This window comes from Homo sapiens, chromosome 2 (assembly GCF_000001405.40).
Source record: "Homo sapiens chromosome 2, GRCh38.p14 Primary Assembly".
Lineage (NCBI taxonomy): Eukaryota > Metazoa > Chordata > Mammalia > Primates > Hominidae > Homo > Homo sapiens.
The window spans coordinates 43127286-43150111 of NC_000002.12; the positions used below are offsets into that span (position 1 = coordinate 43127286).

General features: G+C 50.9%; 1 long non-coding RNA gene across 3 annotated transcripts, besides 10 other annotated features; it reads left to right on the forward strand.

The window, feature by feature from the left end:
• Positions 80 to 580: an enhancer, noted in NCBI's record as "H3K4me1 hESC enhancer chr2:43354504-43355004 (GRCh37/hg19 assembly coordinates)". NCBI's record gives its function as "activates a minimal SCP1, AML or CMV promoter by ChIP-STARR-seq in primed H9 embryonic stem cells {active_cell/tissue: H9 hESC(primed)}" and the evidence as "EXISTENCE:reporter gene assay evidence [ECO:0000049][PMID:30033119]".
• Positions 1111 to 5089, forward strand: LOC105374570 (uncharacterized). Of its 3 annotated transcripts, XR_007086297.1 has the most exons (4): positions 1551 to 1623; positions 2345 to 2424; positions 2512 to 2704; positions 3769 to 5089. It is a non-coding gene; the product is annotated as an uncharacterized LOC105374570 (long non-coding RNA). The 3 variants fall into 3 exon arrangements; XR_940018.3 differs by lacking the exon at positions 1551 to 1623 and adding an exon at positions 1111 to 1177 and having other exon boundaries at positions 2345 to 2704; XR_940019.3 differs by having other exon boundaries at positions 2345 to 2704.
• Positions 3829 to 3888: an enhancer, noted in NCBI's record as "active region_15658". NCBI's record gives its function as "activates an Ori minimal core promoter by ATAC-STARR-seq in GM12878 lymphoblastoid cells {active_cell/tissue: GM12878}" and the evidence as "EXISTENCE:reporter gene assay evidence [ECO:0000049][PMID:35858748]".
• Positions 4379 to 4428: a silencer, noted in NCBI's record as "silent region_11417". NCBI's record gives its function as "represses an Ori minimal core promoter by ATAC-STARR-seq in GM12878 lymphoblastoid cells {active_cell/tissue: GM12878}" and the evidence as "EXISTENCE:reporter gene assay evidence [ECO:0000049][PMID:35858748]".
• Positions 5987 to 6750: an enhancer, noted in NCBI's record as "H3K27ac-H3K4me1 hESC enhancer chr2:43360411-43361174 (GRCh37/hg19 assembly coordinates)". NCBI's record gives its function as "activates a minimal SCP1, AML or CMV promoter by ChIP-STARR-seq in primed H9 embryonic stem cells {active_cell/tissue: H9 hESC(primed)}" and the evidence as "EXISTENCE:reporter gene assay evidence [ECO:0000049][PMID:30033119]".
• Positions 6534 to 6583: an enhancer, noted in NCBI's record as "active region_15659". NCBI's record gives its function as "activates an Ori minimal core promoter by ATAC-STARR-seq in GM12878 lymphoblastoid cells {active_cell/tissue: GM12878}" and the evidence as "EXISTENCE:reporter gene assay evidence [ECO:0000049][PMID:35858748]".
• Positions 6751 to 7512: an enhancer, noted in NCBI's record as "H3K27ac-H3K4me1 hESC enhancer chr2:43361175-43361936 (GRCh37/hg19 assembly coordinates)". NCBI's record gives its function as "activates a minimal SCP1, AML or CMV promoter by ChIP-STARR-seq in primed H9 embryonic stem cells {active_cell/tissue: H9 hESC(primed)}" and the evidence as "EXISTENCE:reporter gene assay evidence [ECO:0000049][PMID:30033119]".
• Positions 7024 to 7093: an enhancer, noted in NCBI's record as "active region_15660". NCBI's record gives its function as "activates an Ori minimal core promoter by ATAC-STARR-seq in GM12878 lymphoblastoid cells {active_cell/tissue: GM12878}" and the evidence as "EXISTENCE:reporter gene assay evidence [ECO:0000049][PMID:35858748]".
• Positions 12710 to 13281: an enhancer, noted in NCBI's record as "H3K27ac-H3K4me1 hESC enhancer chr2:43367134-43367705 (GRCh37/hg19 assembly coordinates)". NCBI's record gives its function as "activates a minimal SCP1, AML or CMV promoter by ChIP-STARR-seq in naive and primed H9 embryonic stem cells {active_cell/tissue: H9 hESC(naive and primed)}" and the evidence as "EXISTENCE:reporter gene assay evidence [ECO:0000049][PMID:30033119]".
• Positions 12904 to 12973: an enhancer, noted in NCBI's record as "active region_15661". NCBI's record gives its function as "activates an Ori minimal core promoter by ATAC-STARR-seq in GM12878 lymphoblastoid cells {active_cell/tissue: GM12878}" and the evidence as "EXISTENCE:reporter gene assay evidence [ECO:0000049][PMID:35858748]".
• Positions 13282 to 13852: an enhancer, noted in NCBI's record as "H3K27ac-H3K4me1 hESC enhancer chr2:43367706-43368276 (GRCh37/hg19 assembly coordinates)". NCBI's record gives its function as "activates a minimal SCP1, AML or CMV promoter by ChIP-STARR-seq in naive and primed H9 embryonic stem cells {active_cell/tissue: H9 hESC(naive and primed)}" and the evidence as "EXISTENCE:reporter gene assay evidence [ECO:0000049][PMID:30033119]".

Consider the following 22826-nt stretch of genomic DNA (forward strand, 5'->3'; position numbering starts at 1 on the left):
CGTGTGGGGCTGGGGCTGCCCACAGGGAGCTTCTGGGCCGGCTAGCCAGCAGGGGGCGCTGTGGACTCAGACACGCGGCTCTGGCCAAGGATGGGAGGCGGCTGGATGGATGGTGAGGTCTCCCTACAGCAACTCTTGTCATATCCCCCGCCCAGCCAGGCTCTCCTGCCTTGCACACAGCGAGGTCTCCACCTCCTCACAACTTCCCAGCCCAGCCCCATTGTTCTCCCTGTCCTCTGGCTGAGGAAGCAAGAGAAGCAATTATTATGCCCATTTTGCAGATGAGGAGACTAAGGTCATTCAGATGCCAAAAGAAAGGCAGAAGGGGCAGCAGCAGGGCAGAGTGGATAGCATCTGGACTTTGGAGCTAGAAGCCACTGGTGTACTGTGTGCCACCTCAGCGGCTCAGTCCCCGTGTGGTTGCAGCAACCCTTGGGGCCTTATTGAGCAAAGCACTGCAGTTGCAACCAGGGAGAGGAGTGCGGCAGCCCACACAGTCCCCGGCTGAGAACGAGTCTGACACTGGACCCTGCCGCCGGTGTGGACAGCACTGGGTCCTGGGGAGGAAGTGCTGCAGAGGGGAAGAGGCGGCCTCGCCCAAGCCCTCTGCTGGGTGGAGATCACAGACAGCCAGAAAGGGGGAAGAACAGGAGGACTGTGCTGGAGAGACCTGGTCCCTCTGCACTTTCTCCCAGGTCCTAGCAAGTCATCAAAACAGCGGGTGCCGCATGGACGCCCTGTGCTGCCCTTCACGGTGTGCCAGGCCCAACCACCCACCCTGGGAGGCAGGTTATGTTATCCTCCCATTTGACAGATGAGGAAAGGAAGACCGAGAGAGAGAAAGTCACTTGTCCGAGGTCCCCAGTGGGAAGTGGGTAAAACGGGATACCCACACCCAGGTCTGCCTGGTATGTAGCCACAACATAGGGTTGGTGGAGCTACAGTCTAGGTAGAGAGAAGAAGGCCCTGTCTGTGGCCAGGGTCGGGGCTGAGTCTGTAACTGGGAAGGCACCCCAGGGAGGAGCATGCTCAGCAGGAAGTGGACAGAGTAGGGGCATGGAGGAAGGAGCACCAGCCATGTGTCTCCAGTCAGGAAAGCCTCCTGGAGGAGGCAGTGAAGGGGGAAGAGGAGGAGAGGAGGGCCTTGCCAGCAGCCTGAGCACTGGTAATGAAGCAGGTAGGCCCAGCTGTTTCCAGATGCACATGGTCTGCACCCAGGAGGGTCAGAGCATGAAGCTGGAGGGGCAGGCAGGGAGACACTGAGAGGGGGGCACCATGGCATCAGAAAAGAGCCCCTGGCAGCTGTGCGAGGATGGCCTCGGAGTTCTGATTGGTTCCGCTGGCTGTTCTTAAGGAAAGAGATGAGGATCTAAATTACTATAGAAACTGAGGGGTGGAGAGGAATGAGGAAGAGGGGATGAAGCCTTAAGACACCAAAGCGTTAGAACTCACCAGATGAGAGGGCCAATAAGATGCCCTGGACAGAAGGAGTGGTCAGGGGTGGCTCAGCCTCTGGTGTGGATGATGGCTTACAGTGTGACTGTGAGCTAAGATGTAGCATTCAAGTGGAGGAATGTGCTGGTGAGAGAAAGACAAGTTTGGTTTGGGACAAATGAGTGTGAGGTATGTATGGGCTATGGAAGTGGACGGGAGCTTTGAGCTCAGAGTTAAAGAGGGATAAGGGGTCAGGACAGGAGTGGTAGTTCTTTGTGAGGCCGAGGCGGGAGGATCACCTGAGGGCTGGAGTTCAAGACTAGCCTGGCCAATATGGTGAAACCCCATCTCTAATAAAAATACAAAAATTAGCCAGGCACATTGGTGCACACCTGTAATCCCAGTTACTCAGCAGGCTGAGGCAGGAGAATCGCTTGAGCCCAGGAGGCAGAGGTTGCAGTGAGCCAAGATCATGCCACTGCACTCCAGCCTGGGTGACAGAGTGAGACTCCATCTCAAAGAAAAAAAAAAGAGGAATAAGGGCTCAAACTAGAGCTGAAGTCAGGCTGTACACTTCAACTGAGGGAAGCCATCAGGGTGGACTAGAATTTGAGCTTAGTCTGCAATCAAGTAGGGAAGTACAACAGAAAGAACACCCATTAACTCTGGTTAGGTTGTATTCTAGAACTTGGAGAAGGAGCCAAGGGTCTGAGCAGACCACAGGCCGAGTTCAGCAATGGTGCCAATCACTCTCAAGGCGTGCAGTTCCCTAGAAGCATTCATAAGAACTCAGCTCAGGACTTAAAGGGACCCTATCAGCTCTGAGGCCAGATGTTGTCAACTGACCTTAAATCATTGAGGTGGGATCTCTTCTCTGAAATGTTCCCTCTCCCCTTTCCCTTCTCTGCAGGGCCCCAGCCTCTTGGCTGGCCAGTGAACACTTCCAAGAACCTTCATACTTAATACCTCTATCACTCCTCCACTCAACAGGTGAGGAAACATCAGTCCAGTGAGAGTGGCATGTGTGGGGAGGAGCCCAGGCTTGCTCTGACCTCTCTCTGGGGCCCCCCACTCCAGAAGGTTGGAACAGCATTCTACAGCATTCCAGGATGTGGAGGGGGCAGCAGTGTTTGTGTGCAGAGTGGCGAGGCCGACCTCCGATGAGCTTCCCGTAGGAAGGGTGCAGTGGGGGGTGCTCACCCTGCCCAGGGATGCTATCTGCTCCAGGACTTGTTTATCAGCCCACGGGGTGATCGGCATGACATCAATGGTGAGGTTTTTTGGGTTTCGTGGTTTTGTTTTTTTCTTTTTCCTTCTAAGGAACAATTCGTTTTGGTCAAATAACTAGAGCAAAAGTGACTGGTGTTTAGACACCTCTTTCCCCAGCCTCTGGCAGTGCCATTGGAGGAACCGTCCCCTGAGGGTCATAGAGGAAGCTGTCTGGCAGCTCAGAGGGTTGCCTCTTGTCCCTGCCCAGCCCCACCGGCTTCCCCTGGCTGCCTCCCTCACATGCCAGGCTTGGGCAGCTTCCCATCACAGACCGAGGTCCAGCCAGAGAGGCCTGTGCTCAGCCCCTCCCTGGGGCCTCTCAGTCTCCCCTCTCTGCTGTCCCGCTCAAATGGTGGGGAGGGGGTAGAGTAGGACAATTCAGAGAGAGGAACTAATCCCCTCCCTCATCCCACTGGGATGCAGAGGAGGAGGCCAGGCTGAAAGGGAACCACACACATCTCCAGTCACTTCTGTCATTGCTATACTGACCCTACAGCACTTCCCATGTGCCACTGGGCCTGCAGGTCGGTATTGGCAAGGGTGAAGGTGAGGGGACGCAAAAGGGAATGCTAGGCTGTGGCGGGGAAGGGCTGGCCTGGGCTCCCAGGAGGTGAGGGGCTGAGTCCCAGGTCATGGTGGCCGGACACAGAGGCGGGTAGAAGGCCAGCAGGGCTGCCCCATCTGAGCCTGGGAGAGCCTGGGAACCCAAAGGCCCATCACAGAGGCTCGGAGGCAGCTGTGTCCACGCGAGACAGAACTTAGGCTGGACTTGGGGGTACAACCCCAGGATAAACTTGGACACATTGAAGGGCAAGCAGCTTGGCCTCTGTCCAACAGGAAACCCCCTCTGCACAAGGAGAGAGGGAATGAGCACAGAGTAGAGGTGCCATGTGTTTCCCAGGGCTTCACTGCAGACAGCATCTCCTGGGAGGTAAACTGAGGCCCCTGTGTGCAAAGCAAGAAACTAGGGCAAGCCCCTTGGGGCTAAAGGTCAAGGAACTGAAGGTTCCAATTTACCTGCCCTGGTAGTTTCTGGCAAGAGACCTCCACCGCCTTCCCTTCCAGGATATGCCAGGCTGCAGGCTACAGTGCCGAGAAGGAGAAGACGGAGGCGGTGGTGATGTCACCCAAGGAATTAAGTAAGCAGGGGAGCTGATAACATCGTCCAGCCAGGCTCACTGTGGGCAGGGTGACTCACTGAAGACGGCCTGCGATCGCCAGGTGATTGTTGTTGTGCCCAGCCTGTGGGGCTGGGGAGGAGGAAGGGGGGCAGGCCACAGAGCTGTGACAAGTTCCTCACCGAGGCCCCTGCTCAGGGGAGAGACCTCAGTACACAGTGTCCTCCACCTCTGAGCCCGGGGCTGGCTCAGGAAACAGCCCCCCTCTGCCTGTGCGATTATCTTTGTCCACAGTGTTTGGTGTGTGTTTGTGGGGTGTGTCAGGTGATTTTCCTGCCCGAAGCCTGCTGGGTGCTCCAGGTACTAGCGATTGCTCACAGCAGAGCAGTAGCCCCCTCCCTGGTTGGACAACTGTCTGTGGAGACAACACCGGATGGCAAACTGCTAACCGCAACCACGTGGCGTCCTTACAGAGGGAACAGCCTGTTCCTCCCGCTGAGGGCACCTGCAGACCTGCCCCATTCATGGCTCCCTTCTCCCTCAGTCCCTGCTGAGGGGATGGTCCCTTCCCACCCTTAAGGGCACCATGGACTGTTGTCCAAGTTGAGAACTGTCCAACTGCAGGGGGCACCATTCACTTGGCAGTCTTCGTGCCAGATGCTATGGCTGTCCACAGTGGCCCTGCCCCTTCCCTTTTGTAAATTACTTCTCAGTTCCCTCCTCCACCAGAATTATCACACCAAACTTTCCCCCATGTATGCTTGCTTCTTTATCACCTGACACTCTCATTCATTCATTCCACAAAAAAATTGTGGCGTTTGTGCAAGGTACTATTCTAGGCAAGGGAACAAGACAGACCCTCCTGGAGCTCATGGAGTTCATATTCTAGCATGGGGGAGAACCAATAAATAAATAATTGGATACATAAAACTGCAAGTGACAATAAGTGCTACAAAGAAAACTAAAGCCAGCCCAGGATAGAGGGTGATAGTGCCCTACTTCAGCTAGGACTGCCAGAAAGGCTTCTCTGTGGGGAGGTGGCCTCTGAGGGGAGACCTGGAGGCAGCAAAGGAGGAAGCCTTCCCGGCAGAGCCCCTCCCATTGGCACCCAATGCCAAAAGAAGTTTCTATAACCCGTCCTGGTTCTGCCAGGAGCCTGCGGCATGGCCTGGGGCGCTCAATTCCCAGTGCAGGGTGTCTATTTCTTCCCCCAACAAACAAGAGGCCTAGTCGCATAGTCTCTTCCAGCACAAATTCACCCACCTGTCGGCTTGAGGAACATGACAGGAATCTGGGTTGGAAGGCCAACTCAGCCACCCACAAGCTGTGTCATCTTGAGCAGGTTACTCAGCCTCTCTGAGCCAGTTTTCTTTCCTATAAAATGTCAGGGAATTGTGGAGGATTAAATGAGGTTGTGGAACTGAAACCACCTGGCACAGGTGCTATCTATGAAGTGAGTGCTTCATAGATATTTTCTGGGGCTGCGCCTAGGTGAGGTGGGGCGAGGTGGGGTGAGGTGGGGCGAGGTGGGGTGAGGTGGGGCGAGGTGGGGTGAGGTGGGGCGAGGTGGGGCCTGGGGGTGCGGTGAGGAGGCGGCTTCCACTGGAGGAGCCTGGAGAAGGCAATGCTGACCCCAAGACGCAAAGCTCTGGTGGCTGCCCAGGTCTGCAGTGGCAGGGCCCGGGGAGCTGGCCCAGGCTGGGACCCTACCTCTACCCACCCCGGGCCTGTGCACTTCCCACTGACAGCAGCCGGTGGGGCGGGCAGGGAGCTACAGTGGGGCCCCCAAGAACTGTCACTCCGCGGCCTAGCTTTCAACATCCTTTGGGGCCCAAGCCACTCAGTTCAACCTCTCTTCCTTCCTCCTTCACTCAGGCTGTTTTGAGTGAGGGCCAGCCACACTCAGACTCCAGCCATGGTGCTCCCTCTCAGCTCCAAGAGCCCAAGGCAAGGAGGTGGAAGGTTAATCAGAGTCCACCCTGGTCAACACAACTTCCCTAACACCTGATGTGAGTTTAGGCATTTAGACCCTGCCGGGAACCCAGAGGAACATGCAGGTGCTCAGCAGGTGCAGGGTGCGGGCAATAACACCAATAGCAGTAATAATAACTAGCCTTCTCGGCTGCCATGGGCCAGGTGCTTTTCATCTAAGACCTTGCTTGATGTTAATCCTGAGATGTGGGCATTTTTTATCCCCTTTCATACTTGAGGAAACTGAGGCTCCAGGAAGGAGGGGTTGTGGGGTGTCGGCGGCAGGGTTTGTGGGCCTACTTCCTGCAGGACAGGAACCTTGCAAGGCACAGGGGATCTGGAGAAGCAGAATTGGAAAGACTCGGGTGGGTGGACCAGCCTGAGGCTGGGGAAGGGCCTTGCAGGGGATTCCTGTCCCACAGATGCCTGCAGGCCCAGGTGTGAGGCCCCCAGCCCCACCACCCCAGCCCAGCCCACAGCTGCTGTGTCACAACCCCTAGAGCGGCTTGGGACTCTGAGTCTCCAACAAGCTCCCAGGTGACCTGGAAGCAGCTGGCTCAGTCTGGGAGGCCAGAGCTGGGCTGCAAAGCCCTGACAAAGCCATTTCTCAGGCCCTCCTGACTTTGAGGCAGGAAATGATCATCATGGCAGCTAATATTAATTGACACCTTACCTGCACAGTAGGTGCTGTGCTAAGCACTTTGCATATGTGAACCTACTTAACTCTCACAATAGTTCTGCGAGGAAGAGAACCTGGGCACAAAGAGGCTAAGTGACTTGCCAGTCATACAGTGCTGGCATTGAACCTGGACACCTGGCTCAAGGCCACACATCTGCCCGCAAAGCAGGATGCCTGGGGTAGGGAAGGCGGCAGGGCAGGGCCTCGAGCACTGGGTCTGAGTGCGGGGCTGGACCTGGTAGGCCCTGGGCAGCAGCAGGTTTCTGAGCAGGGGACCGGCATGCTCCCCAGGACTGGCCACATGGTGTGCGCGTGAGGGAGGCCTGGGCAGACAAGCTCAACACCACTAAGGGCTGAATGTGAAACCCTCCCGCAGGGATGTGGTTTTGACATGAGAAGGCAAAAGAAATAACGCTTCCCTCAAAGGAAAGAACTGACAAACAAAGCTGGGCGCCCATGTGTCGGGCACAAACACTAAAGGTGGAAGTTCAGACGCTAGGAAGGGCGCCCGCAGCCACTTCCTCTGCCGCCCCTCTTCCCCTGCAACAAGGCCTAGTATAGATAGGTGCACAGCTCCTGGGCCTGAGGTCTAAGGACAGCCAGCCTGGGGGACCACCTGTCTGTCCACATGTGTGTGCAAGAGGTCAGGGAGAAAGGGCCTCTGGGTGCTTGCTTGCAGGGAGTGCCTGTCCCCATCCCACCCTGCTCCTGCAGCCGAAAAGGACAGACGCCCTGACTCTAATCTGTACCTCTGGGGCCTCAAAACCACAGCCACGTCAGCCGCGCATGCATCTGGACTAGGTGGGAGGTGGGGCCACCTATGCAGGGTACGCAGGTGTGTGCCAACATGCGTGTGCAGGGCAGACATGCCCCCCCACCCCCGAGGGAGGAGGGCAAGTGGGGTGGAGGGGTCCAGAGATCCGGTGGCCGCCCGGCCCCGCTCCTTCCCCTGCCCCTGCCTCCCCTCTGAGGGGTAGCCATGGCTTTGAGGACCCCCCTTCTTCCCTCAAGCTTCTCTCTGCTCTCAGCTCCAGTGCCAGCGACAATCTAAATAAATGTCTATGGAGCACCTAAAATGGCCTGGCAAGTTCTGGGCACTTGGGAGACATCAGCGAGAAAAGTAAAGATTCCTGCCCTCGGCCGGGCGTGGTGGCTCACGCCTGTAATCCCAGAACATTGGGAGACCGAGGCGGGTGGATCACCTGAGGTCAGGAGTTCGAGACCAGCTTGGCCAACATGGTGAAACCCCGTCTCTACTAAAAATACAAAAATTAGCTGGGCGTCATGGCATCTGTCTGTAATCCCAGCTACTCAGGAGGCTGAGGCAGGAGAATTGCTTGAACCTGTGACGCAGAGGTTGCAGTGAGCCGAGATCGTGCCATTGCACTCCAGCCTGGGTGACAAAAGCGAAACTCCATCTCAAAAAAAAAAAAAAAAAAAAAAAAAGATTCCTGCCCTCTTGGGGCCCACATTTTGTTGGGGAGGCACAATAGACAGAATAAATACATTCCTTTCTTTCTGTCTTTTTTTTTTTTTTGAGATAGGGTATCCCTCTGTGACCCAGGCTAGAGTGCAGTGGCAGGATCACAGCTCACTGCAGCCTCAAACTCTTGGGCTCAAGTGAACCTCCTACCTCAACCTCCTGAGTAGCTGGGACCACCAAGCCCGGCTAATTTTCGTTTTCTTTTTTGTAGGGACGGGTCTTACTATGTTGCCCAGGCTGGCCTCAAGGGATCCTCCTGCCTCAGCTTCCCAAAGTGCTGGGATTACAGGTGTGAACCACTGCGCCCAGCCTTACATTCTATAATCCTCATGTAGGCAGTGGGTTCCATGGAAAGAAAGAGGAAGCAGATAGGGCTGGGAGATGAGGAGTGCTGGTGGGTGCGAGGGTGTGCACTCACTCGGGTCACCGTACTAAGCTGGGTGCTCCAGGGAGGCCCCATGAAGAGGCCAACATTTCAACAGGAGCTTGGGGAAGGAATAGCCAAGCAGAGTCTGGGCTAGAACATTTCAGACAGAGGAAACAGCTAGAACAAAAGGCCTGAGGCAGGAGCCTGGCCAGGACTGGGGGAAGGGCAGGCTGTTGGGGTGGGGACTAAACTGGCCCTACACCTCCAGGATTTCCAGTGCGGTCCATGTGAGGATGGCTCGGCTCATGGCTGAAATGATTCTCTAGTCTGTCGGGCAACTCAGGCTAACAGCAAAGGCCTGATTTCCAGTGGATTAAAGAGAAAGGACCCTGTAGTACCTACAGAAGAGGCCACAGGGTTCACAGAGGAACCAGTGCCCTGGGAGGAAGAGAAGGAGAGGGGTTTACATCAGAAGGAGCCCTGCTTTGGGGCCCAGTGTGGGGGCCCCTAGAGGGTGCAGGGGAGGGAGCAAAGGATGGGACCAGCTACCCTGAGGCCCGCAGGTCTCTCTAGAGGGCCAAGTCTCTGCGTTCCCAGGACCCCCACGAGCCCACCCTGGGAGCTCACTGACAGAGTGCAGTGTAGACTTCCATTCTACAGCTTGGACTCAGCTGCTACCCACAGGGAGGAAGGGAGCCTGGAACACAGCCACTTCTGCGCACCTGCGTCTGCCTGCTGGAGGCCACCAGGCCTGCTTACTAGACCCTACTGAGGCTGCTGCCCCTCCTTCTCCAAAGCACCATTAAACAACTCACGTGGGGGGCTGGGGGAGGTGACCCCAGGAGGTCTAGCCTGATGGTTGAACAGGGGCAGGGATGTGCGCCTGCATGTCCACTTTGCCCTGCAGCATGTGGGCAGCTGGCATTCTAGGAGGTAGATCCACTCGAAAGCAATCAAAGCCACGGAGTGTGTGATTCTGACAGAGGGGGTGGTGGGATGTCAGCGGTGGAGGGCTTCTTATGGCCTAGAAAAGTGAGGGGACTTCTTGCAGAAGTGGGCTTGACCTGGGCTTTTCAGGATGGGAGCAAATTTGAAGGAGGAGAGAGGATACCTCCATGTGCTCACACATTTGCACACACATTTACTCTCGTGCACACACCCAGTCCCTTAAGCCCCCCATCTATAGGTGCTCACAGCCAGCAGTATGCACACACACCTCACACACAGCCAAAGTAATGCACACAAACTCAGAAACACACACACTGGGGCATTCACACTCTTATGAGGCATGCCGATGCTACAACGGTCGCCCACATACACTCTGGGCACCAGAAACATACAGGCCCCTTAGAAATGGGCTTGGGAGAAGATGAAGATGTGTCTGCAATGCGTAAGAAGAGCAGAAGCTGACAGGTGGCAGTAGGGGGTGGAGATGGGGTGACAACAGATATGGAGACCCAGAGAAAGGCAAGACTTACAGACACACCCACGTGCAGACCACACATCCGTTACTGTCAGCTTCAGACAGACCCCGCAACCTTCCTGCCTTCAGAAAGACACTGCTTAGTAACTACGTGACACGATGCATGTCATCCAGCCTCGCCAAGGTTTGATGCTGTCTTCTATAACATGAGGATTTGATAACACCTGCTTGTCATGCCAAATTGATATCCTGTGATTTGACAGGAAAGTCCTGTCTAACTCCAAAGCACTGTTCAGAATTCAGTTACCTCTCCCACCTCCAGTGGGACGCCCCTGGCCAGGCCACCCTCCCACCAGTCTCCCTGCCTCTTCTTGCTCCCACTATAGTCTTTGGCCTACCCTGCAGCCACTGCTCTCCTCCTCCACGCCAGCCTCTGTGATTTCATCTTATTCATAGTAAAAGACAAATTCCTTTGTGGGGGCGGGTAGTGGGGATGCTTCCTGATCTGCCCTCCCTAGTTCCCTTATCTCTCCCCTTCTTCCCTCCGCCAGCCACCCGGGACCCCTCACCACCCCTCACTCACCTGAGACGTGCTCCCCTCTCGGCGCCCTTGCACTAGCTGTTCTCTGCCTGGAACATCCCCAGGGCTCCTCCTTTAGGATTTACTCAGATGACTTCCTCTCAGTGAGGCCTTCCCAGGCCGCCCTAGCGAACACTGGGCCCTCACCACAGAACTCTCTAGCCCCCTACCGTTTTTTTTTCCTTCTCCTTGGCCTCTTTACTTCCCAACACAATACGTATTTTATTTGTTTGCCTCATTTATTGTCTGTCTCTCTTGTCAAAACGAACTCCATAGGGGCAAGGACTTTTGTCTGTTTTATTCTCAGCTGTGATCCCTGGCTCTCAGAGCAGAGCCTGACTCATAGGACTCAATAAAGATTAAGTGAATGAATGACTGAAATGAGACAGCAAATCAGTAAGCATTTATAAAGCACGATTAAGAAATAGAAGCGGGGCTGGGCGCAGTGGCTCACGCCTGTAATCCTTGCACTTTGGGAGGCCGAGGTGGGCGGATCACCTGAGGTCAGGAGTTTGAGACCAACCTGGCCAACATGGTGAAACCCTGTCTCTACTAAAAATACAAAATTAGTAGAGCGTGGTGTTGCACGTCTCTAGTCCCAGCTACTCGGGAGGCTAAGGCAGGAGAATCGTTTGAACCCGGGGGGCAGAGGTTGCAGTGAGACCAGATTGTGCCACTGCACTCCGGCCTGGGCGACAAAGTGAGGCTCCATTCCCCGCCCTCCCAAAACAAAAAATAGAAGGGGAGGGACCAACCCTGAATGAGGCATCACCATGTTCCAGGAAATTGCAAGCACAATATTCCCTTATTCTCCATCAACCCTGGGGAATCATTCCCATTTTACAGATAAGAAGATGAGATCAGAAAGGGGATGACCTATGGTGGTTGTAGATTGTCTGCGAAGATGGTCACTGACAATTCCTCTCCTCTCTGTATTAGAATGCTGTTCTTCCCTTCAAAAGGTGGAGCCAGTTCCGCACCACACACACACACATACACACACACACACACACACACACACCTGCATACCCCCACCTCTTCCTTGGCTCTAGGCTGCCCTTGTGACTTGCTCTGACCAATAGAATGTGGCAAAAGTGATGCTGTGTCGGTTCTGGCACAGGCTTTAAGAGGCCTATGCCTAGGCTTATACAATTTTTGGAATTCAAAGCAAAATGAAAATGTGGAGCCCCTTATTCAAAAAGCAAGATAAACATTGTTAGAGGCACTAAAATATAAAGCTTTCTCTTTTGATAGTCTCTCTCCCTTAACTCACCATGGTGTTTTTAACTTGCTATTTAATGCTACCCTAATAAAAAAGCTAAAATTTGAAAATGTTACTATGAATTTTGCTGTTCAACTTTATATGGTGCAAAGCCAGTTTTAAATGCAAAAAGAGCATTTAGCTCATATGTACAATCATCAGAATTATGCAATTCATATTTCATAGGTCATACATGCATATATATTTCATTCCTACCAGAAGAGTGGGAACACCACACAAAACTAACAACTTTTTTTTTTAAATTTTTTATTTTTTAGACAGAGTTTCATTCTTGTTACCCAGGCTGCAGTGCAGTGGCGCGATCTCGGCTCACTGCAACCTCCACCTTCAAGCAATTCTCCTGCCTCAGCCTCCTGAGTAGCTGGGATTACAGGTGTGTGCCACCACACTTTACTAATGTTTTTTTTTTTTTTTTTTTTAGTAGAGACGGGGTCTCACCATGTTGGCCAGACTGGTCTCTAACTCCTGACCTCAGGTGATCCACCTGCCTCGGCCTCCCAAAGTGCTGGGATTACAGGCATAAGCCACCGTGCCTGGCCAAAACTAACACCTTTTAATTTCTCTTCTTGCTATGCATATATTCTACCAACACTCTCTTCCTTTGGTTTACTGATGAGTAAGGACAGATGAAAAGAAAAGGAATGATCTGTACAGAGATGAGAGACCAGGAACAGGGTGGACATGCATTTTATGGACTTCCTCTGCTCATGCACATGCACCATTGTCTTAACTTACAAAACACAACACCATGGGCAGGGCGCCATGTCTTGTGCCTGGAGTCCCAGCACTTTGAGAGGGTGAAGAGGGAGGAAGCCCAGGGGCTCGAGACCAGCTTGGGCAGCATAGCAAGACCCTGACTCTACAGAACATTTAAAAATTAGCCAGGCATGGTTATGTGCACTCGTAGTCCTAGCTACTTGGCAGACTGAGGCAGGAGGATCCCTTGAGCCCGAGAGTTTGAGGCTGCCATGAGTTATGATCACACCACTGCACTCCAGCCTGTGTGACAAAGTGAGACCCTGTCTCAAAACACACACACACACACGCAAAATTCCCTGCAACACTATGTAGAGAAAAAGTGAGCTGTCCTGTCAATCCCTGCCCAAATTTTAGAATCGTGAGCAATAAACAGTTGTTATTTTGAGCCACTAGGTTTTGTGGTGGCTTCTTACACAGAAGCTGATGACTGATGTAATGGTTGAGATCACAAAGCTAGTAAAAGACCAGGCTGTGGTTGAACCCACATTGGTCTGAATCTCAAGTTCACACTCCTCTCTACCCCACCCAGGTTTCCTTACAAAGCTTTCATAGTGTTACTCCTTCTCTACTCCATGGTGAGTTGGTAAGTTTAGGGTTGAGCTAGGGGGTGAAGGTTGCTTCGCTGCAACAAATCAAAATTATTATTAGAACTTGGAAGAAGCCACATCTGGACTTGATGTGGCGGACAGGAGGTTGGTGGACGGGTCAGGGCTGAGAACAGGCCCAGCCTCTGTCCAGGGTGAATCTGGGCCCAGCGGGGTACTGGGACATCTGTTTTCCATCCTGATTCGGAAACTAAAGCTGCTTTCCTCTGCCTACCCCATCCTCCACCTCTGCTGACCCTACAGGAAATGGGAGTTGGAAATCTGGCTGGCCAGCAGCGGCGCCTCCTCCGATGGGAGCTCTCTGCCTGCCACAAGATTCAGAGTGCAAGGGCCTCGGGCCGCCTGTGCTTCTGCACACTCTCTCCCTCTTCCCCACTGAACCAGCGGCGAAGGGAATTCTCAGGGTCCCCCTTGGTCAAGGAGTCAGGTTTTCCCCTTTTAACTGATGGCTGTTGTTCCTGCTGCAGCTATTAGCATACCAAATTAGTAAGGATATTTTAGCGACAAGAAACAGAACTCCTATTCAATTGGCTTAGACAAGAAGAAAAGTGTGTTATCTCACAGTGATAAAATTCCTTTTTGAGATGGAGTCTCGCTGTGTGGCCCAGGCTGGAGTTCAGTGGCGCTATCTCGGCTCACTGCAAGCTCCGCCTCCCAGCTTCACACCATTCTCCTGCCTCAGCCTCCTGAGTAGCTGGGACTACAGGCGCCCGCCACCACACCTGGCTAATTTGTGTATTTTTAGTAGTGATGGGATTTCACCATGTTGGCCAGGCTGGTCTCGAACTCCTGACCTCAGGTGATCCACCCGCCTCAGCATCCCAAATTGCTGGGGTTACAGGTGTGAGCCACCACACCCAGCCTTTCCTCTGTATTTTAAATCATCTTTAGATTACTTTAAATACCTAATTATAATGTAAATGGTATGTACATAGTTGTTACAGTACATAAATGTACACACTATATTGTTCAGGGAATAATGACAAGAAAAAAGTCTGTGTATTCAGTACAGACACAACTTTTTTTCAAAAACTTTTTTTTGAGACAGGGTCTCCTGTCTCCCAGGGTGGAGTGCAGTGGTGTAATCTTGGCTTACTGCAGCCTCTGCCTCCCTGACTCAAGTAATCCTTCCATCTCAGCCTCCCAAGTAGCTTGAACTACAGGTGTGCGCCACCACACCCAGCTAATTTATTTTTGTATTTTTAGTAGAGATGGGGTTTCACCATGTTGCCCAGGCTGATCTTGAACTCCTGGGCTCAAGCGATCTGCCTGCCTCAGCCTCCTCATATTTTTTCAATTTTTTTTTTTTTTTTTTTTTTTTGACAGTCTCACTCTGTTGTCCAGGCTGGAGTACAGTGGCGCAATGTCAGCTCACTGCAACCTCTGCCTCCTGGGTTCAAGTGATTCTCCTGCCTCAGCCTCCCAAGTAGCTGGAAATACAGGCGTGCATCATCATGCTCAGATAATTTTAGTATTTTTAGTAGAGACGAGGTTTCACCATATTGACCAGGCTGGTCTTGAACTCCTGGCCTCAAGCAATCTGCCCGCCTCAGCTTCCCAAAGTGCTGGGATTACAAGCATGAGCCACCGCACCCGGCCCGCAAATGTTTTTGATAGCAGTTGGTTGAATACACAGATGAGGAACCCACAGACACTGAGGGCCGACTATATAAAAACTCAGGGATTGAGGCAGAGACTTTGCTTCCTCATCTGAGCACCTGTTGAGGTTGTTAAGAGCATCAGTGTCAGAGTTAGGCAGACTTAGGTCTGAATTCTGACCCTGTCCCTTTCTGGTTTTCTGATCTTATTCAGGTTGTTTAATCCTCCTGTAACACAATTTCTTTGTAGGTAAAATGAGGATAATACCCATCCCTGGACTGTTTTATTAACCAATACATTGCCTGGCATATAGAAAAGGGTGAAAAAGGCCGGGCGCGATGGCTCACACCTGTAATCCCAGCACTTTGGGAGGCCAAGGTGGGCGGATCACCTGAGGACAGGAGTTCAAGACCAGCCTGGCCAACATGATGAAACCCCATCTGTACTGAAAATACAAAAAAAATTAGCTGGGTGTGGTGGTGCATGCTTGTAATCCCAGCTACTCAGAAGGCTGAGACAGGAGAATCATTTGAACCTGGGAGGCAGAGGTTGCAGTGAGCTGAGATTGTGCCACTGCACTCTAGCCTGGTGACAGAGCAAGACTCCCTCTCAAAAATAAAAATAAAAAATAAAAAAAAGAGAAAAGAAAAAGGTGAAAAAATATTTTAAGCATGTGGAACCATGTGACCCAATCTGGCTATCTCCTTCTGCAATGCCACCCTCCTCTTCTTCCTGAGTCCATCTCTCTCCTCCCAGTTCAATCCTCAGTCCCCAGCTTTAGGCTCTCCCCTCTTAGATCCCTCCCACCCCTTACCCACAGCACTCCTTGTCTGGGCTTCCCCACCTAGCACCTAGACAGGGTGTCCCATCCACATTTCAGACAAGGCAACAAGATTCCTCCATGGCTGCCCATGCCTCAGAATCACTGCTTATCAAGCCCAGATGTGTCCACACTCCAGGCCCCCCTTCCTTGCCATCCCCATGAATACTGACTTCTTTGTACTTACTTGTCAGGGTTCTTGGTTGCAAGCAACAGAGAACTAACTCACGGACTTCTAGGGCTGGCTAGAGAGCCAGGCTCACAGCAACCAGGGAGGGCTGGACGGCAGCCAGAACCCCAGCCCAAATCACGCCTTGAGGACAGACCAGGGAGGACAACTGAGTAACCAACCTGAGGACTGGCCCTGCGGCCCCACTGCCCCGACACCTCCCTCCTGCTGCTGCTGCTGCCTCCACTTGGGGCAGATGCACTCCATCTCTGCTTCTTTGTGTCTTCTGCCTGAGTCAGGGTTGCTGAATGTGTGTGTCTGATTGGCTGAGCCAGGTCACAAGCCTGCAGCAACTGCAAGGGAGGCTGGGAAAGTGAGGCCTGGTGCCTAGAGTCTGCCTCTTGGGGAGACTCACAAGGTCAGGAAGGTTCCAGACAGAGGCCAGAGAGTCTGGAAAACATAAAGGTGGGCCAGGCGCAGTGGCTTACACCTGTAATCCCAGCACTTTGGGAGGCCGAGGCAAGAGTATCACCTGAGGTCAGGCTTTCAAGATCGGCCTGGCCAACATGGTGAAACCCTGTCTCTACTAAAAATGCAAAAAATAGCTGGGTATGGTGGTGCGTGCCTATAGTCCCAGCTACTCGGGAGGCTGAGGCAGGAGAATCGCTTGAACCCAGGAGATGGAAGTTGCAGTGGGCCAAGATCATGCCACTGCACTCCAGCCTGGGCCAAAGAATGAGACTCCGTCTCAAAAAAACAAAACAAAACAAAACAAAAAAACATATAAAGGTCCCCTCTGCTGGGTAAGAAACCATTTGCTCCTGGGGCAGGGCCTGTGTCTGCCTATCCCAGCCCCCACCCCAGCCTCAGGAGTGGCTGTGCTCTCAACAGGGCGCAGGAAACCTTCCTCAGGTGAGGGGTCCCAGAATTAGAGACCACGGGAGCTGGAGGGGCCATATAGGGGCATCTCTACAAAAGAAGTCCGTGGACTAACATTCAACCACCCAGTTTTTATTTTGTCAAGTAAGAATATCAGAGAAATAATAAACCATTTTTTTTTCTTTTTTGAGACAAGATCTCGCTCCGTCACCCAGGCTGGAGTGCAGTGGTGCAATCTCAGCTTACTGCAACCTCCGCCTCTTAAGGCTTAAGCAATCCTCCCACCTCAGCCTCCCAAGTAGCCGGGACTACAGGTGCACGACACCATGCCTGGCTAATTTATTTATTTATTTTTTTGTTGCCCAGGCTAGCCTCGAACTTCTGGCCTCAAGTGATCCTCCTACCTCAGCCTCCCAAAGTGCTGGGACTGCAGACATGAGCCTAGGCTAACAAATCACTTTCTCCTGGCACCATCATTTCATCAAAAAAGAGACAAGCGACATCTTAAACACCAAAAAAATAAAAAGAGAGGAGAGCAGGTTTTAGAATAGAGCATAATCCTTTAAGCTAAATACATATTGGCTTTAAGAAAACTCATTATATTGCCCTGAATTTCCAGGACTTTTCAGGACTTTTGCTGGAAACCTGTGAAAAGATCATGACACAGCTGAACTTGAATATGGGCTGTGGATTAGAGAATAGTATTGGATCAATGCTGAGTTTCCCGTGTCTACCATGCAGGAGTTACGTAAGTCTTGCACTGTAAAAGAGCATCCTTGTTCTTAGGAAATACACCCTGAAGTATTTAGAGGTAAAAGGGCATGATGTCTGCAACTTATTCTTAATTGGGAAATTTCAGGAAAAAATTACACATACACACATCCACATTCACACACATAAACATATATAAAGAAAAATAAAGTAAAAGGGGTAAAATGTAAACAATTAGTATATCTGCAAAAAAGTTATACTAGAGTCTTTGTAGTATTGTTGCAACTTTTTGGTAAATTTGAAATTATGTCAGAATTAAGTTACCCAAAAAAATGTTAGCAGTGAGTTAGCAGTGAGCCTCAGGGTTGGTTTTCCCTTGGTACATTACCTATTTTGGAAGTGTTTGAAGTTTTATGAGCATGTATGATGTTTGTAGTCACAAAGAAGAAAGACCAAAATTACAAAAATTAAAGCGAAAAAGAAAAGGCCATGAAAGACTCAGTCTAGCTTTTTTTTTTTTTGAGGCAGAGTCTCACTCTATTGCCCAGGCTGGAGTGCAATGGCGTGGTCTCGGCTCATTGCAACCTCCACCTCCCGGATTCAAGTGATTTTCCTGCCTCAAAGGCACCTGCCACCACACCTGGCTAATTTTTGTATTTTTAGTAGAGATGGGGTTTCACTATGTTGGCCAGGCTTGTCTCGAACACCTGACCTCAGGTGATCCACACGCCTCGGCCTCCCAAAGTTCTGGGATTACAGGCGTGAGCCACCGCGCCTGACCCAGTCTGGCATTCGACACTTGCTGATCTGGCCTAAGTTCCCATTCTACAGGAAAGGAAACTGAGGCCCAGGCAGGGCTTGCAGCTTGCTCAGTGGCACACAGTAAGTATCGTCAGTGAGGACTTGGCCAAGGCTGCTCCCAGCACAATTCCTTCCATGCGAGGATGTTGCCCATGAAGCAGAGTGTAGGTCTCAAGGGTAAGTAGGGCCAGGCAGGACTGGACAGGACGTTGGGACTTGTCCCTTCGAGAATGCCAGGTCCCATAGGGATGCATTTCTTCGACATTTTACCCCGATACGTTCCCTTCAAGCCAAGGAGGATGATCAAGAATTGCTCCCTACACGTTTACCTATTTCTCATATGGGGAAACTGAGGCCCTGAGAGGTTCCGGGACTTGCCTGAGATCGTACTGCAAGCAAATTCCAGGCTGTAAAGTTGAGTTGTAGTGTAATTGGCCAGATCTGGCTAAGTTGCCTCAAGCCCAAGTTAGAAAGGAATAAAGGAAAGGGCGAGGCCGTAAGAACAGGAGGGAAAAGGGAGGGGAAACCCTGCAGTGTCAGAGTTGGGAGATCCTCGTTCCCTGAGCCCTTTCACTCTTCATGTGGATTAAATTCGCTTGAGTTTAGAAGAGGAAGAAACAGTGTTTTGCAGGTGCACCATGTCCCACAGCTTCAGGAGGCATCACTCACATGACAGTCTAGGAAAATAGAGCCTCCTGGAGTTGTGCAGTGGACAGTCTGTACAGCTATCCATGGCAGCTCTGAGAAAGTCATCTGTTGTTGTTTGTGGGGGGATGTTCGGGTAGGAAAGGGGAGTAATTAATTCACTGTCGCCTGAATTAACCAGTGACTGATTCCATCAGTTCGATCAACCACTGTTTATTGCCATAGATTGTATGCCAGGTACCACGCTAGGGGTTGGGGCTTCCCAGGCTTGACATATACTCAAGGGAGGAGCCGCAGGTGGGAGCAGGGGAGAAAGGAAGGCCTCCCAGAACAAAAACCCACAAACCACCCCCTACCATTCCTCCTTCCCCTCGGCTCAGCCTTCTCCATTCTTCAGGCCTCCTAGGAAAAGCCCTCATGACTCCTCCAGGCCCCTCCTCCCACAGTTGCATAGAACATCGGGTTCTCTGCTCTTTCTGTGTCTCCACCAGGTGGTGGGAGCTTCTTGGGCTCCAGGATGCAGTGCAGTTCTTCTTCTTCTTATTATTATTTTATTATTATTATTATTATTATTATTATTATTAGAGAAAAAGTCTCGCTCTGTCTCCCAGGCTGGAGTGCAGTGACTCCCGGGCTCAAGCGATTCTCCTGCCTCAGCCTCCCAAGTAGCTGGGATTACAGGCGCCCACCACCACACCTGGCTAATTTTTGTACTTTTAGTAGAGATGCGGTTTTGCCCTATTGGCCAGGCTGGCCTTGAACTTCTGATCTCAGTTGATCTGCCCGCCTTGGCCTCCCAAAGTGCTGGGATTACAGGCGTGAGCCACTGCACCCGGCCTTTTTTGTTTGTTTGTTTTTAAGAGACAGGGTCGAGGTCCGTCACCCATGCTGGAATATAATGGTGTGATCATGGTTCACTGCAGCCTCAAACTCCTAGGCTTAAGCAATCCTCCTGTCAGCCTCCTGAGTAGCTGGGACTACAGGTATGTGACACCATACCTGACTAATTTTTTTATTTTTTGTAGAGATGGGGGGGGTCTTGCTATGTTGCCCAGGCTGGTCTTGAACTTCTGGCCTTGAGCGATCCTCCTGCCTCAGCTTCCCAAATTACTGGGATTGCAGGCATGAGCCACCACACCAGGCCTTCAGTGGAGTTCCTTCCCCAACCAAGCACCTAAAATTCATTCATCCATTCATTTAGTCATTCATTCGTTTGTTTTACTTCTTTTATTCCACAGGCATTTGTCTATCTGTTTGCTAACTAGATTTTTTTAAATTAAAAAAGAGATATGCACTTATAATTAAAAAATAAAATTAGGCCAGACGTGGTGGCTTACGCCTGTAATCCCAGCACTTTGGGAGGCGGAGGCTGGCAGATCACCTGAGGTCAGGAGTTCAATATCAGCCTGGCCAACATGGTGAAATCCCGTCTCTACTAAAAATATGAAAACTAGCTGGGCATGGTTCCACACGTCTATAATCCCAGCTACTCAGGAGGCTGAGGCAGGAGAATCACTTGAACCCAGGAGGCAAAGGTTACGGTGAGCCGAGATCATGCCACTTTACTCCAGACTGGGCAACAGAGCAAGACTCCATCTCAAAAAAAAATTAAAAGTAAAAAATTAAATTAAACAGAGCAAGCAAACAGTTCCCCTCTCAGAAACAACTATTCTTCTCAATTTCTGAGTCTTCTTCCAAGTATTTCTAGGCAGTTCCTAGTATATAACTATAAATAAACACAAACATATGTGTGTGGTGTGTATTGTTTTCCTTTTTTCACAAAAGAAATCATACATTACACACAGCTCTGCACCTTGAATTGTTTTCACTTAATTCTGTATTGAGGTATTTGTTCCATATCAACACGTGCACACCTTTCATGGCTGTGAACTATTCCAGATTGTGATGTCTTGCCATCTGTGTCAGTTGTCTGTCAGTTGATATCTAGTCTGTTTCCAGTTTTTCACAGCAATGAAAGTCTTTCTACAGGCATCTTTGTATATCTGTGAGTGTATCTGGAGCTCAGCTTCCTTGAAGTGTAATTGATGGGGCAAAGGAATGAGCAATTCGCATTATGATAGATATCATCCAATAGTCCTCTAAAAATTTGCACCAAATTGTACAAAAAATCACTTTTTGGTCTCTGCCAATCTGAGATATGAAAAAAACAGTATCTCATTTTAATTTGCATTCTTTATGATGAGAGATGTTAGCTTTTTTTTTTTTTCATGTTTCCAAATCATTTGTATTTCTGTCTCTCTCTCTCACTTCTCTTTAACAATATTCAAGGAGCCACCCTCGGCCAGGCTGTTCGTTCTTTAAGTCACATAGGCAGTGTCTGGGGCCTATCAAAATTTTATGCTCCTGCAAAAAGGTTTGAGACTTGGAAGGTGAGAGGGGACATACTGGCTTCATTTTTTTTTTTTTTTTTTTTGAGACAGAGTCTCACTCTGTTGCCCAGGCTTGAGTACAGTGGCGTGATCTCTGCTCACTGCAATCTCCACCTCCCAGGTTCAAGTGATTCTCGCCCCTCAGCCTCCTGAGTAGCTGGGATTACCAGACACTCACCCACCACACCCGGCTAATTTTTGTATTTTTAGTAGAGACAGGGTTTCACCATGTTGGCCAGGCTCGTCTCAACTCCTGACCTCAAGAGATCCACCCGCCTCAGCCTCCCAAAATGCTGAGATTACAGGCGTGAGCCACCGTGCCCAGCCCAAAGTATTTTTTAAAAACCAGAAAATGAAAACGAAAATTATGTCATTTAATGTCAATAAACCATAATTGTATGACAACTTCATTAATTGGAAAGCCTGGAAATCATGACTATTTCATTACATTTTAAAGCTATTGGTTGGTTTAGATGTTCTCATTTCAAAGAAGTCTCAAGTTTGCATGATGCTTTTTAAGAAATTAGAGTCAATCTTTGTTTTTTTTTTATTGTGATGGAGTTTCACTCTTGTTGCCCAGGCTGGAGTGCAATGACGCGATCTCAGCTCACTGCAACCTCCGCCTCCCAGGTTCAAGCGATTCTCCTGTCTCAGCCTCCAGAGCAGCTGGGATTACAGGCACGTGCCACCATGCCCGGCTAATTTTGTATTTTTAGTAGAGACCGGGTTTCTCCATGTTGGTCAGGCTGGTCTCGAACTCCTGACCTCAGGTGATCCGCCTGCCTCGGCCTCCCAAAGTGCTGGGATTACAGGTGTGAGCCACCGTGCCTGGCCCAGAGAGCTTTCTATCCACAAACAAGCCAACATTTCAACAAAAGTAGGAGACAGTGAAGGAGTTCAGATCTAAGTCTTGGGCTAGCCAAGGACCCCTGACTTCCCTCCCAACCCCCAAGTGTCAAAAAGAAGAAACCCTCTTGTGCCTCACCCCCCAAGCCCCAGCCTAGTGGCTCAGCACTGGACACCGGGATTTGGGGAAAGCTGGTGCAGGGAAGGATGGGTGGAAGTGATGCTCTCTGTGGTCTTAGGACCAGTCTGGGTTGAAGGTGAGGGAGGAGAGAGATAGAGATAGGGAGGAAAAGGAACAAATTGCCCCCACATGACAACTTGAAACTGCAGAACAAAACGTTTTTCTCTTTCATACTCTCTCCCTCTTTTAAAGGGAAATAGAGCTCATTTCTTGAAAGGGACCATCTGGGAGTCTAAGTCACAAGTGTGAAGATTTTAAGACTGGGTGGTGAGTAATTCAGCACCTACCACCTCCTCCCTGTCTGCTTTCCCTCCCATCTGAAACTCAGAAGGGAAAGGGCAGAGAGGACCAGAGGACATCCCACCACCTGCCAGCAGGAAATGGTATCAGAACCATGCGCGCGTGCACGTGTGTGTGTGTGTCTGTGTGTGTGTGTGTGTGTGTGTGTGTCTATGTATGTGTGTGTGTCTGTGTGTACACCTGTGTGTGCATCTGTGTGTCTGTGTGTGTCCGTGTGTGTCTGTGTACGTGTGTGTCTGTGTGTCGATGTGTCTGTGTGTGTCTGTGTATGTGTGTGTATGTGTCTGTGTTTGTGTGTGTGTGTGTCTGTGTGTGTGTGTGTCTGTGTCTGTGTGCATCTGTATATGCGTCTGTGTATCTGTGTGTGCTGTGTGTCCGTGTGTGTGTCTGTGTGTGTGTCTGTGTACATGTGTGTCTATGTATGTGTCTGTGTGTGTGTCTGTGTGTATGTGTGTGTGTGTGTGTGTGCATGCATGCATGCATGTGCATATACATTATCCCTCTCCCCTAATAGT